An 18,073-nucleotide genomic window follows, 5' to 3' on the forward strand; every position below is an offset into this window, starting at 1 on the left:
TGAACTCCTGACCTTGTGATCCATTCACCTCAGCCTACGAGGGCTCACCAGAGCCCTGTGAGGAGGAGTTGGAATGGCCACTTTATTTATGCAGCAGTCATTGATGAAAACCCAGTTTCACCCACACTTGTGGATGGAGAGGGAAGCAAGGCTCCTCATGCCCTCATTATGCAATTTGTGGGTAACAGCCTCCAGGTCTCCAGTGGTTTCTATGGGGCAGGCAGTCCAGGGCCCTAATGTGGGCTTCAAGGGCTGGTCACCAGTCGATTACCCACTGGGGTAGCCCAACTTCAGGCTCTGGTCACCACCCAGCGGTTGGAAAATCACCTTCAAAGGTGCTGTGAGCAGGTGAACGTCACAGACCCACACGAGAGCACGGGCTGGCTTGGGAACTGCTGTCCTGTCGGTTAACAGCCCAATAGGTTAACAGGATAGGCCTAGGCTACTTTTACCAGATCCCTGGATCTCCCTAAAAAAAGGATCCTGACAATACCGGTCTCTAGATCCTTTCTAGAAATGCAGAATCAAATGCCATACCAGAGGACAAATGAATCTGAATCTTGCTTTTTTTTTTCTTTTTTTCTTTTTTGAGATAGGGTCTCACTCTTGCCCAGGCTGGAGTGCAGTGGCGCAATTATATTATGTAATAGGTCACTGTAGCTCTGACACCTACCCCGCCAACCACGGAGCTCAAGCGATCCTCCCACCTCAGCCTCCTGAGTAGCTGGGACTACAGGCATGTGTCACCACGCCCAGTTAATTTTTTATTTTTTTGTAGAGGAGACAGGATCCCCCTGTCTTGCCCAGGCTGGTCTCAAACTCCTGGGCTCAAGTGACCCTCCTGCCTCAGCCCCCCAAAGTGCTGGATTTACAGGCATGAGCCATTGCACCTGGCCTGAATTTTGCATTTTAGTAAGATCCCAAGTGACCTGTACCCACGTTCAAGGTTGGGAAGGACTGGCCTACATCTTTCATTGTGTGTGTATTTTTAAATAAATGTTTTTATTAAAATAGAGCACACATACAGAACCATTTGATAAATTATCACAAAGTGAATCCATAGAGGCACCCAGCCCCCCGATTAAGAAATAGAATAGGGCTAGGGTTAATAGCACCCTAGAAGTTCTCTTTCCCAGACACTCACCCCCAACCCTGGTCCCCAAAGGTAACCAATATTCTCGCTTCTAATGGCATAAGTTAATTTGATCCACATTTGTTCTTCATGTACATGGAATCATATTGCACGTATTTTTTTGTGTCTGGCTGCTTTCGTTTGTGAGATTCTAAAATCCTCACTAGGAACCCCAGCCTTCCACTGTGTACTTACACATTTTATACTGCTCTCTCATGTTTCCTGAGTCTTCTATCCCCAGAAAACTGTAAAGTTAAGGAAAGCCCATTTTATCCAAATAAATATTTAGCGAGCACCCACACTGTGCCAGGATTGTGGGGGGCTGAACCCCAACATGTGTTGCCAAATCGAGAGTTCCGTGTCATGTGAGGCATCTTGCCTAAGTAGTTTTCAGGGATGTGGAAGATTCACGTTGGTATGTGATTTCAATCTCTGAAAGGAATTTATTACCTGCCCTAAAGACACCCCAAACTGCACTTCAGCACACAGCTAACAAGTGACAGCAGGCTTCTCGCTTATGTCTTTAGAACACATCATAAAACCTAGTTCCCAGGAGCTGCTGTCTCGATGATTTCTGCTTTTCTTCAAGTGTTATTTGGTTAAATATTGAGATTCCCTCAGCTAAAAGTTATAAGTCTCTCAGAAAGCTGTTGATGCTTGTTCTTCTCAGGGCTTCCAGAAATAAATTATGCACGGACACTTTCCCCATTGATGGTTGTGACACTTAAGCCCTCTTGTTTGTTTAATTTTTAAAATATTTTTGAGACAAGGTCTCACTCTGTCGCCCAGGCTGGAGGGCAGTGGTGCAATCATGGCTCACTGCAGCCTCAACCTCCAGGGCTCAAGTGATCCTCCCACCTCTCAGCCTTCCCAGTAGCTGGGACTACAGATGCGTGCCACCACACCTGGCTAGTTTTTGTATTTTTTGTAGAGACAGGGCTTTGCCATGTTCCCCAGGCTTGTCTTGAACTCCTGGGCTTAAGTGATCCACCCGCCTCCATCTCCCAAAATGACAGGATTACAGGCATCAGCCACCGTGCCTGCCTTCTTGTTTGATTTGTTCACTGTCAGTGTTGCTGAGACCAATAGTCAGTCACCTTCTTTCTGGGCCTTGATTTTCTCATCTCTGAAAAGGAGGAAATGTATTACATCAGAGGTTTCTAACCTGAAATCCCTGGATCTCCCAGGGAATCCATTAATCCCTGGAAATTATATGGAAGATTATGCATGTGTGTATTCGAGGGGAAGGGAGTCCGGAATAACTACCCCCATCCCCTCCCAAAATTAAACACCATCATGCTCAGTAATACCCAATAATTTTTTTGTTTGTTTGTTTTTTTGAGACAGAGCCTCCCTCTGTCACCCAGGCTGGAGTGCAGTGGTGCAATCTCGGCTCACTGCAACCTCCGCCTCCCAGGTTCAAGCAATCCTCCTGCCTCAGCCTCCCGAGTAGTTGGCATTACAGGCACCTGCCACCACACCTGACTAATTTTTGTATTTTTAGTAGAGACGGAGTTTCCCCATGTTGGCCAGGCTGGTCTCGAACTCCTGACCTCGAGTGATGTGCCTGCCTTGGCCTCCCAAAGTGCTGGGATTACAGGTGTGAGCCCCCACATCCAGCCCCCAAGAACATTTTGGAGCACTATCATTCCACAATCATGTGGCTACTTGTGTCAGCTGCAGAGCATCACTTTTGCTAAGTGTCTGGTTCCAGCTGAATCTTAAGAAAAGGTGATTCACTTTGCCTTTTTCCTTCCATAAGTTTTTCTGCCCTAACAGAAAGAATACTGTAAAAGTGCAACACCTCTTAATAGCGTCGCCCTCTGATCTCTTCAGGTGAAGGTCATTTCATTTAAAATAGCAAGGTCCTGAATCACGTCCATCAATTTTCATATAACCTCAATCTGGGTCCTTTTGTATTTGGCTGGCTTGTTTTCTAAATGCTGGAGCTATTCTAACCCTCAGAACGTGTCTGCAGGTCTGGTTATCATAACCAAATGGATGGGAGACGGGAGCATACCAATATATTTGGAACAATTCAACAATCCAATTTTCTCTACCCAGAGAAACAGCTCTGCAGCAGCCCCGAATGGCTACACATGCCAGGTTTGCCTAATTGGACATGGGTGTTAGCCCATCACCTGAGCAAAGGAGGGAAGCAGAACCCTCCCTGCCTGTCATGTTCAGAGCTCATTAGTTCCCACACAATCACATTAGGTTACAGATTTTCTGTGTGCCAGTTCCCCAGCGGTACCCTAGCAACAAGTTGAGCCAACAGTTTTCATTACAAACTGCCTTGGTCAGTATAAAGGAACCATCTTATATTTCTTCCAGAGAGCAAAACATGCTAGACTCTTAAGTGTTCTTAATAATTGGCTTCACTGCAGATGATAGAGGTGGTTTCAGAACTCATCCTCTTCCTAAAATATGTATTTCTCTGTTCTTAGTTCTCTAAAGAAATAGAGCTCCATGGCCTAGCGCAGTGCCTCACGCCTGTAATCTCAGCACTTTGGGAGGCCGACGTGGGTGGATCACCTGAGGTCAGGAGTTCGAGACCAGCCTGACCAATATGGTGAAACCCCGCCTCTACTAAAATTACAAAAAATTAGCTGAGCGTGGTGGCATGCGCCTGTAGTCCCAGCTACTCAGGAGGCTGAGACAGGAGAATCTCTTGAACTCGGGAGGCGGGGAGGTTGCAGTGAGCTGAGATTGCGCCACTGCACTCTAGCCTGGGCGACAGAGCAAGAGTGCATCTCAAAAAAAAAAAAAAAAAAAAAGGAAAAAAGGAAAAAAGAAATAGAGCTCCATGATCAACCTTTGTGACTCCAAGTGTGGCCCACGAACCAACCACCGCAGCATCATTTGGAGATTGCTAGAAATGAAAACATCTCAGCCCCACTCCAGACCATCTGGGCTAGAATCTGCACTTTAACCAGATCTTCAGGTGACTCACACATGCAAATTCAAAAAGTACTCCAGAGAAATCACCCAAAGCCCCACTAGTAGACAGTATCTGCCTTACATCTGTGACCTTCTAGCAAGTAATTCATGATCACTAAATGTGAGCCTCTTTCCTTCTCCCTGTTAAAACCCAGGGCACCACCAGAGAAGCTTAGAGGGAGGAAGGGAAGGAGAAACAGGCCCAGAAGATGAAGAACTTGGAGAGAGAAGGAGTAATGAAGATGGAGGAGTGAAAAATGAAAGGGCTTGGGGTGGCCTTCAGAGCCTCCCCATAAGGGGTTTTAGGCCTTCAGGGTGTTCTCCGTAGTCACACACTGCCTCCTAGAGTTACTTGGTTAATAGTCTCTAAATAGGACTCACTTTTTAACTTTGATGACTTTTGAAAAGAAATGCATGTCTCAGGTTTTATGTGCATGTTATAATTTTTCTTTTTGAGACAGGGTGTCACTCTGTTGCCCAAGCTGGAGTGCAGTGGCACTATCTCAGCTCATGGCAACCTCTGCCCCCCAGGCTCAAGCCATCCTCCCACCTCAGCCTCCCAAGTAGCTGGGACTACAGGCGTATGCCACTACACCTGGCTAATTTTTGTGTTTTTGTAGAGCCAGAATTTTGCCATGTCACCTAGGCTGGTCTTGAACTCCTGGGCTCAAGTGATCTGCCCACTTCGCCCTCCCAAAGTGCTGAGATTACAGGTATGAGCCACCATGCCCAGCCATATTTTTTTCTAATACACATTAAAATAGATTCGTGGCTATTAACATTTTGTGAAGTGTTGTTTGTAACCACTGCAGACGATCCCTGGGGACACCTGATCTGGAAGAATGATAGTCCAAGTGGTGCAGGAAGTCCCCTGAGAGCTGGCACAAAATCTACAGGGCTGGTTCTATATCCTCTTTTGTGTGTGTGTGTGTGTGTGTGTGTGTGTGTGTGTGTGTGTGTGTGTGACGGAGTCTCGCTCTGTCACCAAGGCTGGAGTGCAATGGCGCAATCTCAGCTCACCGCAACCTCCGCCTCCCGGATTCAAGCAATCTTCCTGCCTCAGCCTCCCAAGTAGCTGGGATTACAGCCATCCACCACTATGCCCAGCTAATTTTTGTATTTTTAGTAGAGACAGGGTCTCACCATGTTGGCCAGGCTGGTCTTGAACTCCTGATCTCAGGTGATCCCACCTGTCTTGGCCTCCCAAAGTGCTGGGATTACAAGCATGAGCCACCATGCCCGGCTTTTTTTCTTTTTTCTTTTTGAGACAGAGTCTTGCTCTGTCACCCAGGCTGGAGTGCAGTGACATGATCACAGCTCACTGCAGCCTGGACCTCCTATCCTCCCTCCCGAGTAGCTAGGACCACAGGTATGCACCACCATGCCTGGTCAATTATTTTTTTATTTTTTTTATTTTTTTAGTAGAGATAGAGTCTCATTATGTTGGCCAGGCTGGTCTCGAACTCCTGGGCTCAAGTGATCCTCCCACCTTGGTCTCCCAAAGTGTTGAGACTACAGGCATGAGCCACTGAACTGGGCTGAGGTTCGTACTATTTTCTCATGTGTCTAAACTGCATTGCAGGACACAAGGGTGTGGTATAATAGTTGTTATTCAGCCAAGTTAAAGCAGCAGTCCACTGCAGATCAGGAGGACCACTCACATAGAACCTGCTTAAGGGTAGTGGCAAGAACTTGGAATAATGATTGCAGATTAGGCCAAGCACAGTGGCTTATACCTGTAATCCTGGCACTTTGGGAGGCTGAGGCAGGCAGACCACTTGAGGTCAGGAGTTTGAGATCAGCCTGGCCAACATGGTGAAACCCCGTCTCTACTAAAAATGCAAAAATTAGTCGGGCATGGTGGCAGGTGCCTGTAGTCCCAGCCACTCAGGGGGCTGAGGCAGGAGAATTGGTTGAACCCACAAAGCAGAGGCTGCAGTGGGCCGAGATGATGCCACTGCACTCCAGCCTGGGTGACAGAGTGAGACTCCATCTCAACAACAAAAAAAAGATTGTAGATTAACAAGCAAATGTTTGCTTAATACTGTAAGTTAACATAAGGCACATGGGTTAGGTTGGCTAGAGTCCTGACTACAGCAGCCATCCAAGACCATCATCTGGGTTCAGAGCATGGATCTAAAAGAAGCAAGAAGCCCTCATCTGGATGTCGGTTGGCCTGAAGGAGCCTGGGGGCCTCTGATCTCCTGCAAGTCACGGCCACGCTTTCCTTCACTTAGCAGCTGGCCTCCACAGAGATGTCAGCAATTCGTAGGAACGGTTGTTCCCTTTATCCTTTGAGAAAAGGGACATGCAAAATAAGCCAAACATTTTCTAGTGTGAACAGACTGAGGTGCTACTTTTAAAAAGAAACAGGGAGCAACCGAAAAGTCCAATGGAAAACAGAAAATAACCAAGAGGTCAGAAACTAACACCAGAGAAGAAAGTAGCAATGATTTAAATGTGCGCATTAACAGTTCACAGGAATGGAACAGAGTTTCCATACGCTGAAAGGTGAGTCTCTTTTCCATCTCCACCGAGAGCACAACTTCAAAGGAACAGACTCAAATTGTCGGAAGGGCTAAAAAGAACAACTTTGACTTGTTAGGGATATCAGACTCTGATCCAAACTAACAAAGGAAATAATGTGCTCGCCTTGGAAAATCTTTTTTTTTAAATGGATAGCTTAAAAAAAAAAAGTGCGCCTGGCTGTATTGTGGGCTAGGGGCGGGTTCTGGCTGGACATTAGGGGTAGAGTCTCTGGTGTCTTTCAATCGGTTATAAAAAGCTCCTAGGCCCTCAGTCCAGTCTTTTCTAGAAGTACAATTAATTATATTGCATTAAATATTGCCTGCGGTAAGTGGGCCATCAATGAAGCTGAGTCTTTCTGTTATTTCTGTTTCCGTGCTTTGAAGACAAGTGTCCTCTCACAGAGCTCTTTGTAAACAGACTTTCTGCCAATTGAATAGAGTAGATTAATTGCACTATAGGAGGAGGGAGAACTTGCAATGTAAAGTGATTCTATGGTACGCTTTACTGTAAAAATGAGAGTCTATTGTAAATGTGGGTTTTTGAAAAGCAAAATGGAAGAGCCCAGGCCAGGTAAAAGAATGAATTCCCATCGCACATAGGATAGAGAAGCAGGGCAGCCGGCAGGTGCCGCATGCACATAAAGCTGTTAGCACCATGCCTAGCCCTGAGGACTCAAGCAACCCATGGAAGCTCCTGAAATACTATCAGCCTGTTTGGATACTGTTATCCTCCTATTCTCCCACGTCTACATAAGCACCAGCAATGACGGAGGATTAAGATTTCATCTAGTGCTCATCAATCTCTTAAATCTCTGTTCAGGAACTGACAGTGGTTCAAATCCCAGCTCTCAGCCGGGCACGGTGGCTCATGCCTGTCATCCGAGCACTTTGGGAGGCCGAGGCGGGTGGATCCCTTGAGGCCAGGAGTTTGAGACTAGCCTGGCCAACATGGTGAAACCCTGTCTCTACTAAAAATACAAAAATTAGCTGGGTGCGGTGGTGGGCACCTGTAATCCCAGCCACTCAGGAGGCTGAGGCAGGAGAATCACTTGAACCCAGGAGGCAGAGGTTGCAGTGGGCCAAGATCATGCCATTGCACTCCAGCCTGGTCGACAAAAGCAAAACTCCGTCTCAAAAAAACAAAAAAACAAAACAAAACAAAACAAAAAAAACCCGCCCTCCTCTCTCTCCACTTAGGTCAAGCCAACCTTCTCCCTAACCTCTGCAAAACTTCAGCTCCTCCCTGCTCTTGCCTTTTTCCGCACTCCTGGGAGCAAAGAGATGAAAACAGATGGTTGCAAATGACTCCTATGGACTGGAGCTGAAATGTAGGTTGAAGGTAACAGTGGAGAGAGTACAGGCAAACAAAGCCCAAAGTCCAGCTCCTTCTCCTCAGCTTTCTGCTCCCTCCAACTTTCCTCTGGAAAGTTCTCAACAGTAAACAGCTCACACAGTTCGGGAAGTTTGAGGGGCTTGCACTTTTTCCATGAAACTCTTCAAACAATCATATGAAAATATATTGCAATTATTAGACATCTGGTTTACCCAAATAATATTATATACAAGTACCATTTAATACAGAAGTCGGATTTTACTGCTTTTGGTGAAAGGCCAGAGTGAGATTAAAGAGCAAAGAACAGCACAATGTAACCTGAAGTTAGAGTCAGAGTGAATAACATTGCAAAGGAACTTTCAAAGGAGGAATTATTTCTGGGTCAATTTAACTGTAGAGTCTAAAATAACTTTAGCCGCCAGCTCAGAAGATAAAGTCTAAACGGACATGTCTGTGTCAAAGAGTAAGAAACTAGCTTTTTCTGAAACATTTCTTTCTTTCTTTTTTTTTTCTGAGACGGAGTCTTGCTCTGTCACCCAGGCTGGAGTGCAGTGGCACGATGTCGGCTCACTGCAACCTCCGCCTCCTGGGTTCAAGCAATTCTCTGCCTCAGCCTCCCGAGTAGCTGGCATTACAGGCACCTGCCACCACGCCCGGCTAGTTTTTGTATTTTTAGTAGAGACGGGGTTTCACCATCTTGGCCAGGCTGGTCTTGGACTCCTGACCTCGTGATCCACCAGCCTTGGCCTCCCAAAGTGCTAGGATTACAGGCGTGAGCCACTGCACCTGGCCTGAAACATTTCTCAAGTGAATACACATTAGAATTATCCCCCAAACCTTTCTAGTGAAAAGGGTTGATCGATTGGAAGGGTCTAGATGTGTCACTCCTCAGTCCAAACTGCTGAGTGGGAAATGGGTTCCAGAAAAGGCTTGTCTCCGTTTGGAAAACATAAAGTTGGCCAGCGAATGATGCATTAAGGTCAAGTCTAATCACTGTAAATGTTGTGTCCTCTGCAGCCCGCCTATGAGGCAGCTGGGGCTTCAGCTCTCTGAATTTACAGTCTAAGAATCTGTCTCTGCTTATCCTGCCTTCTGCCCTTTTGTAGGTTAAATGTGTCCCCCAAAAAGATATATTGACTCTTAACCCCAACTACCTGTAAAGGTGACCTTATTTGGAAATAGGATCTTTGCAGATATAATCAAGTTTAAACGAGGTCATACTTAATTAGAGTGGGCCCTACTCCACTATGACTGGGGTCCTTATAAGATCAGGAAACAGAGACAGAGATACACACAACACAGAGGGAAGACAATGTGAAGAGATCTAGGGAGAATGTCCCGTGATGACGGAGGCAGAGATTGAAGCGGTGCATCTACAAGCAACAGACCACCCAGGATTGTTGGTGACACCAGAAGCTGGAAGAGGCGAGGAAGGATTCCCCACTGGAGTCTTCAGAAGGAGGCCAGCCCAACAGAGACCTTGACTGCAGACCTCTAGCCTCCAGAACTGTGACAGAAGAAATCACTGTTTTTTGTTGGCCGCAGCGGCTCATGTCTATAATCCCAGCACTTTGGGAGGCTGAGGCAGTGGATCACCTGAGGTCAGGAGTTCAAGACTAGCCTGGCCAACATGGTGAAACCCCGTCTCTACTAAATATACAAAAATTAGCCAGGCATGTTGGCACACACCTGTAATCCCAGCTGCTTGGGAGGTTGAGGCAGGAGAATCACTTGAACCCAGGAGGCAGAGATTGCAGTGAGCCAACATCATGCCACTGCACTCCAGCCTGAGCAACAGAGCAAGACTTGGTCTCCAAAAAAAAAAAAAGGAAAAGAAATTGCTGTTGTTTTAAGCTCCCCAGGTTGTGGTCACTTTTACACAGCCCTAGCAAAGTCACACATCCCCAGATGGCTTTGTCCTCTCCTCTCCTTCCGGTAATCCCTCCCTGCCCTCGTCCACAGAAATGCAGGTTCACAGAAACACAGGTGTGTCAGTCCACAGCCACAGACCTCCACACACAGCTCCCCAAATGCACACACACACACACACAAATACACATTTTATGTGTAACTACGGAACTGCAGATTACAGATGCTTTCATTCTGTCTCTTTTTTTTAACTTTTATTATGGAAAAAAAATTAACATTCACAAAAATAGAGTGGCGTAATGAACACCCATGTGCCCATCCCCAGCTTTTATGAAGAATTTTGCCCATTGTATTTCATCTAGCCCCCAGCCAAGGTCACTTTGCATGGGGCAGTATGTGGAGCATTTTAAAGCAAACAACACACCATGCCAGGTCATCTGTAAAGCTTTAGTGTAAACAACTTCAGGCGCATTTTTTCGGTCACCTCTGAGGAGTATTTTATTACTGAAGTAAAAGGAATGAATAGAGTTTTATATCTGGGTCCTCTTTCAGTTCTTTTACAGTTCAGTGATTTTTGTCTGCTTGCTTTGTTTTCTCTTTTTTACAATTTTTTATTTAGTGGTTTTAAATATATTCACACAGTTGTGCAACCATCACCACAATCTAATTTTAGAACATTTTCATCACCCCCAAAAGAAACCCTGTACCCATCAGCAGTCACTCCTCATTTCCCTCCTCCCCAACACTCCAGCCTCAGACAACCACTAATCTGCTTTCTGTCTCAATAGATTTGCTTATTTGGAACATTTCATATAAAGGGAATCATACAATATCTAGTCTTTTGTAACTGGCTTCTTTTTTCACTTAGCAAAATGTTTCAAGGTGGGTTTATGCTAAAGTATGTATCAGCACTTTAATCCTTTTCATGGCTGAGTAATATTTTATTGCATGGATATGCCACATATTATTTATCCATTTATCAGTTGATGGACATTTGGGTTGTTTCCATCGTTTGGCTATTATGAATAATCCCACAATGAACACTCATGTACAAGTGTTTGTGTGGACATATGTTTTCATTTCTCTTGTGTACATGCCTAAGAGTAGAATTTTTTTGAACATAACTCTAGGGTTTTTGTTTTGTTGAGACAGGATCTTACTTTGTTGCCCAGGCTGAAGTGCAGTGGTATGAACATGGCTCACTGCAGCCTTGACCTCCTGGGCTCAAGTGATCCTCCTGCCTCAGCCTCCCATGTAGCTGGGACCACAGGTGTGTACCAACATGCCTGGCTAACTTTTGTATTTTTTGTAGAGACAGGGTTTTGCCATGTTGCTCAGGCTTACTCTCAAACTCCCGGGCTCAAGCAATCTGTCCACCTTGGCCTCCCAAAGTGCTGGGACCACAGGCGTGAGCCACCATGCCCAGCCTTGTAACTCTATGTTTAACTTTTTTTTTTTTTTTTTTTGAGATGGAGTCTTACTCTGTTGCCCAGGCTGGAGTGCAGTGGAGCAATCTCATCTCACTGCAACCCCCATCTCTCACTGCAACCCCCACCTCCCAAAGTGCTGGGCTTACAGATGTAAGCCACCACACTAGCCATGTTTAACATTTTGAGGAACCACCAAACTGTTTTCCAAAGTGGCTATAACACTTTACTATTCTACCAGCAATGTATGAAAATTCTAATTTCTCCATAAATTCACTATACTTGTTATTCTCCATCTTTTTTATTATAGCCAACCTGGTGGGTGTAAAGTGATATCTCATTGTGGTTTTTATTTGTATTTCCCTACTGACTAATGATGTTGAGCTTTTTTAATGTGCTTATTGACCATTTGTAAATCTTCTTTGGAGAAATGTGTCTTCAGATCCTTTGCCTGTTTTTCAACTGGGTCATGTCTTTTTGTTGTTGTTGAGTTGTAAAAGATCTTTATATAGTCTGGACGGAAGTCCCTTATTGGGTATATGATTTGCAAATATTTTCTCCCATCTGTGAGCTGTCTTTTCCTTTCTTCCTGGTGTCTTGTGAAACACAAAAGTTTTCTACTGGATAAAGTCCAGTGTATCTGTTTTTTCTTTTGTTGCTTGTGCTTTTGGTGTGGATCTGAGAAACCATTGCCTGACTCAATATCACAAAGATTTAGTCCTATGTTTTCTTCAAAGTGTTTTCTAGTTTTAGCTCTTACATTTAGATGTATGATCCACTTTGAGTAATTTTTTAATATATGGTGTGAGGTAGGGATCCAAACTCATTCTTTTGCATTTGTATTTAGATATTACATTTTGATCCTGTTTCTTTTTGACTTGTTCTATGATATTGTACCTGTTTTCCATAAACCACCTTTTATTTATTTATTTAGACACAGGGGTCTCACTATGTTGCCCAGGCTGGACTCAAACTCCTGGGCTCAAGCGATCCTCTGGCCTCAACCTCCAGAGTAGCTGGAACTACAGACACACACGATCATGCTCAGTTCCACAAATCACCTTTTACATGTCTTTGATGAGACTACACCAAGAGTGATAAAAAAGAAAACCCTAAATGGAGAAACAGTCCACATGAGGAAGTGGTTAGCCCTTCTTTCATTGCCTGTAATCTGTAACTCATTTCTCCAATTTTAGTTTTTTCCCCTTTTCTTATAATATTTTACAATGCAATTTAGCACCTGTTTGATTCAGTCAGTGGTAACTGTACCAATTAGTCCTGACCTAACCTTCAGCTATTCTGTTCTATCCCATTTCTATCTATCTATCTATCTATCTATCTATCTATCTATCTATCTATCCATCCCTCTATCTATCTATTTAGAGTTGAAGTCTCACACAGTCACACAGGCTGGAGTGCAGTGGTACAATCATAGCTCACTGTAGCCTTGAATTCCTGGCCTCCAGTGATCCTCCTGCCTCAGCCTCCTGAGTCTCTGGGATTACAAGCATGAGCCATCAATTTAAAACTTCAATTTGACAAAGACTATGAGCACCAACAATGTGTCTGTTGGTCCTGGGTAAATCAGAGGTGAAAAGACAAGTGCCCCACCCTCAGACTATCACAGCCAAGATGGAGAGAGGTCTGGCATGTAAACAAATAATGAGGGAGTATGAACATAAGAGGGAAGGAGTGATTGTGTGAGGGGGCTGGAAAACCTCATGAAGGGAGGGGATTGGGGCAAAGGCTCAGAGCAGGGCCCAGGCAGGGACCAATGTCTGATGCCAGCTGGGTGAGGCCCTTGTCAATCTGGATACCAGATGCCCCATCTAGAGGAGGCAGTTTCCACTCATCCCCAGCAGATCATATCACTGTAGGTGGACCCAGGAACGTCAAGATAAGTTGAAAAAAATTCTGAGCCAGGCGTGGTGGCTCATGCCTGCAATCCCAGCATTTTGGGATGCCGAGGTGGGTGGATCACCTGAGGTCAGGAGTTCAAGACCAACCTGGCCAACATGGTAAAACCCTGTCTCTACTAAAAATACAAAAATTAGCTGGGTGTGATGGTAGGTGCCTGTAGTCCCAGCTACTCAGGAGGCTGAGGCAGGAGAATCGCTTGAACCCAGGAAGCAGAGGTTGCACTGAACTGAGATCATGCCACTGTACTCCAGCCTGGACAACAGAGCAAGATTCCATCTCAAAAAAAAAAAAAAAAAAAAAAAAAAAAAAGGAAGGAGTTGAAAAAAAGATCTAATTTTTGTGTGGAATTCCTCATTTTTGAAAGTTGTTAATTAATTTGAATTTTAAAACTCTATAGTGGGTTCCCCAAATGTTGCATAAAATTACTATACAATGCAGCAATTCCACTCCCGGGTATACTCCCCCAGAGAAATGAATACAGGGATTCAAACAGATATTTGTAGGCCAATGTTCACTGCAACCCGAAGTGGAAACAATCCAAGTGTCTATCAACAGAGGAACTGATAAATAATATGTGATATATTCATACAATGCAATATTCACCCATTAAAAAAAAGTTCAGTTCTAATGCATGCTACAACATGGACGAACCTTGGAAATCTTATGCTAAGTAAAATAAACCAGCCACAAAAGGACAAATATTATATGATTGCACTACGTGAAATACCTAGAATAGGCAAATTCATACAGACAGAAAGTAGATAAGAGATTACCAAGGGCTGGGGCAGGGAGGTGGGTGGAGGTGCCTAGGAGTTCTTGCTTAATGGTACAGTTTCTGCTTGGGGTGATGAAAACGTTTTGGAAACAGTGGGTGATGTTTGCACAACATTGCAAAAGTAACTAATGCCACTACATTGTACACTTAATAATGGTTAACATGGGGGCTGGGCGCGGTGGCTCATGCCTGTAATCCCAGCACTTTGGGAGGCCGAGGTGGGCACATCATGAGGTCAGGAGATCGCCAGAGGAGTTGAGTCCTGAGCAACTGCAGAGAGGGAGCCTGCTCCTAGGACTTCGTACAAATTCCAAATGGGATATATGGAGTTCTAGGGAAGGCATGTAAATTCAGTAAAACTCATTCCGACTTTAATTAAACAGCCCAGAGCACAGGTCCTATTAGTGGTGGGCTGGTTTCATCTCTTATGTGAAAGAGGTTTACTGAAAAAAGAGCAGCGTGATAGAAATCAAACACAGATCAGGGGGCTCAGCCTGACTGTGCTAACCAAGTCTGTGCCCTTTGGAATCTACGCTGAATGATGATCTCGCTGTGCCTCAGCGTCCTTGCTTCTCAATGGGGCGAAGTCTCTGTCCTATCCAGTTCATGGGATGGCTCTGATGAGAAAAATGAAAGCGATTTCCAAACATTTCACATCTAAGTGCCCCGAATTGTCCCAGGGCTGTGAATTTTACCTATCCTCTGTGCTTTACAACGTTACATAACATGTTTGAAATAAGTGGGTCGTCCACCGGGGTTTGGAATTCACTGTGATCTGGAGACCTGGTCGTATTTATTGTAAGTTTTGACTCCTGAACAAAAAGTGAAACATTATTCGCACTCAAGCTCCTCCTGTGTTCTATCCTTACGCAGGACATCATCCACACAGCACCCCATTCTTCATCTTGCATTGCTCTTTTTGGAAATAAGTATATTTGGATGTTTTGTTACTAAAGCTGCATTCTCCCCGCAGCATGCGTGCTCTGCAGCAACAGGGAAGGGAAAACAGGAACGCTCTGAAGCAGTACATTCCTGCACACCCACACAGAGCCATGGCTTCCTAGACAAGTCCCCGAACCTAGATGTCTGCAGTGTCCTGGCACGCTGCTGGTAAGTGACAGACACAGGCAGGGCTGCAAGGCTAGGAGCTCCCTCTGTGAGGGAGGAACAAGGACACTTCACAGCTTTCACTTGAGTGGATCCAAGAGAATGTTTTGTGAAAGTGGCAAAAGAGGTAAAACGGCTTTTTCGCTGCAGAAGTAAAGTGGGACACCCAGCGAGAGCCTTGCTGAGGGAAACCATGCAGCCTGTGGCCTGGCTCTGGCTGACCAGATGAAGAATGATCCCTTTCTAAGCCTATTATGGCACTAGGATGGTTTTTCAACCCATGATTGTGTTGCGGGTCAAAGCAGGGTAGCTGTGATGAGCCCCAGGCCTGGACCCACACTAGGGAGTTCAGTGTTGAGGGCAGCGGGCCACCCCCTCCCATCATGGCCAGCAATCGGTTGTGGACCAGCCAAGAGGCACGGGGGCACCTGGCCGAAAAATTATCCCCAGAGGCAAACATTTAACAGCTGTGATGTCTTAAATAAATATCATTCTTGCTGAGCAAGGGAAGAAAGAAAAGAATAAACAGAAAAGAGTGGGAGAAAGAAAGAGAACAGAATGCAGATTAGATTTAAGAGGGGCAGATACGATGATGAGGGGTGGTGTCTAGATCAGTGCAGGAGCACTGAGTAGCTCGCTGGGGCTAAGCGGGCCCCACCATCAGACCCGTCCCTAGAGCTGGCAGTGAAGATTCCCCTCTTCTCTAAACGTGCCTAGGGCTTAACGCAGAGGGGAGCCGGGAGTCCTTCAAGAAGCCACGAAGGCTTCACCCTGGCACAGACCCAGAGCAGGCACCCTTTCCTCACTGGCAGCATCCCCTGCAACATCGGCCTCCCCTCTGCTAGGCAGCCCATAGGGCCCAGGGAGGGCACAGAACCGAGCCATGGAGGAAGGGTGATGAGGAGAGGGAGCTGCCTGACTCACCCCGTCCTCAGTCACTTGGATCACGGGTGGGCAGGCCTGCAGATGATGAATCACTGAGAGCTGTGAACGCTATTCTGAGCTCTGCCAAGAACACGAGTGCTCTTGTTGGCACCCTGGCACCCTTCACAGTTTCTCTCCTTCCTTGTCTGGCTGCCAGGAGACATGCATTGTAGGAACTGGGTATCTGAGAGGTTTTTTTTTTAGCCCAACACAGAAACCATCTAACTCTTTCTATTCTTCCTGCTTCTTAACCAGTTCTTGGAAGTCACTGATTGGAAACCGGAACTGAAAGCCACCTCCTTCCCAGCCTAGCTGAGACAGCCTTGCTGAGAAGCCATTCCAGGGCAGGGCAGACCTTATGGAATTTACCAAATGAATCACCTGGCTACGTGTTTGGCTATGTGTCTGAAAGTACCCAGGAATTATGTCAGTTAAGTTCTAGATTCTATAAGGAAAAATCAGACCGGCACCTAGAGCTCTGTAACTGCACAACACATGAGTTAATTTCTCAATCTATCTGGTTCCCATACAGTCTATGAGAACTTTTATCCACTTTCATCTTTCATCCATAGAAAGAGTTAAATGCTGTACAGACTAAATCAAACCCACCACATGCTGCTGGGCTCAGCTACCAGGAATTTAAATAAGAACCTGCCTGTGTGACATTCTCACGCTCCTGTGTATTAAATTGCAAGGGGATCCACAGGGGAAAGTAAGCTGTCCTTCACCTTCTCACTGTCTTGTGTCACAAGCCCTTGGGAATGGGTATTTGGAAAAGCAAAGGTCATGCCTGTATGCTTCAGGAAGATGAGGAGAGTATACGTTCCATTCACAAACATATACTGAATATGAAGAAGGCATTTTGAGGGTTACAGAGATGGAAGCACCTCAAGGAGATTAAATCTAGTAGGAGAGATAAGAAGTGTACACAGATCATTTTAAATAACCACCAGCCAGGCGCGGTGGCTCACGCCTGTAATCCCAGCACTTTGGGAGGCCAAGGTAGGAGGAACACTTGAGGTCAGGAGTTCAAGACTAGCCTGACCAACATGGCGAAACCCCATCTCTACTAAAAATATGAAAATTAGCTGGGCGTGGTGGCGTGTGCCTGTAGTCCCAGCTACTGTGGAGGCTGAGGCAGGAGAATCACTTGAACCCGGGAGGTGGAGGTTGCAGTGAGCTGAGATCATGCTCCAGCCTGGGTGGTAGAGTGAGACTCTGTCTCAAAAAAATAAAATAAAATAAATAAGCACTGAGTCCTATGTGATATGAAAAAGAATTAACTGGTTTGGTGAAAGGCAGGATTCACAAACTGTGCCTTGAAGAATAAGCACAATTTCCACCAGGGAAGACAGAGATGATACCAAAGGTGCAGAGAACTGCCCCATTTTTCTACAAGGATGTGGGGAGATAAAATCAGAGCAGTACATGGGGTTTAGACATGCAGTGCCTTAAATGACAGGCTTAGGAGCTTGGGCTTGATCCAGTGGGTGTGGAGAACCCACAAGGTGACAGGGGTGATCCAATCAGAGCTTCCAGAAGCTTGGTCTGGCAGCTGTGGCAAGATGACTTGAAAGGAACGGAAACCAGAGATAGGGAACCAGCGTCGTAGTTCAGATGGGAACTAATAAAGGCCTGATGAGGGAAGTAACAATGAGATAGAAAAAGACACTTGTGTGTATAATGTTACGGAGATAATTAAACAGAGGCCAAATATTCACCAAATGTGAAGAAATGAAAGAAGAAGAGAAAGGCATCAAAATGATTCTGAAATACTCAAAACCACTAGAGGTGGATGTGTTTTTTCAACTGGAAAAAATGATTTGTAGCCAAATTGATGGAGAAGATTACAGTGCCATCAACAGGCATATGGACCTCAAGAGGAGAAAAAATCGGGGGATGGTTCTCCCTTGTGAGGGTGAGAGGCCATGGAGATGACCAGAACACGGTCGAAAATGCATACAAGCGTGATCAGGGCTGGAGAGAAGGATCCGGGAGTCACCCATGCAGCAGTCACAGTGGGAAGCATGGGACACAGCAAAGAAAAGCGTTCCAAAGGCAGAACTAACCAAACAAAGACCTACACTGACAGAATGGAGGAAACAGAAACAACATGGG

General features: G+C 45.5%; 1 long non-coding RNA gene across 1 annotated transcript; it reads right to left on the reverse strand.

Moving 5' to 3' along the window:
• Positions 1–983: 983 nt before the first annotated feature.
• Positions 984–16,943, reverse strand: LOC124901758 (uncharacterized). The gene is made up of 2 exons (XR_007060560.1): positions 15,956–16,943; positions 984–2,258 (listed from the first exon to the last, which is right to left on the reverse strand). It is a non-coding gene; the product is annotated as an uncharacterized LOC124901758 (long non-coding RNA).
• Positions 16,944–18,073: the final 1,130 nt, after the last annotated feature.

Source organism: Homo sapiens, chromosome 7 (genome assembly GCF_000001405.40).
Source record: "Homo sapiens chromosome 7, GRCh38.p14 Primary Assembly".
In the NCBI taxonomy this organism is placed as follows: Eukaryota; Metazoa; Chordata; class Mammalia; order Primates; family Hominidae; genus Homo; species Homo sapiens.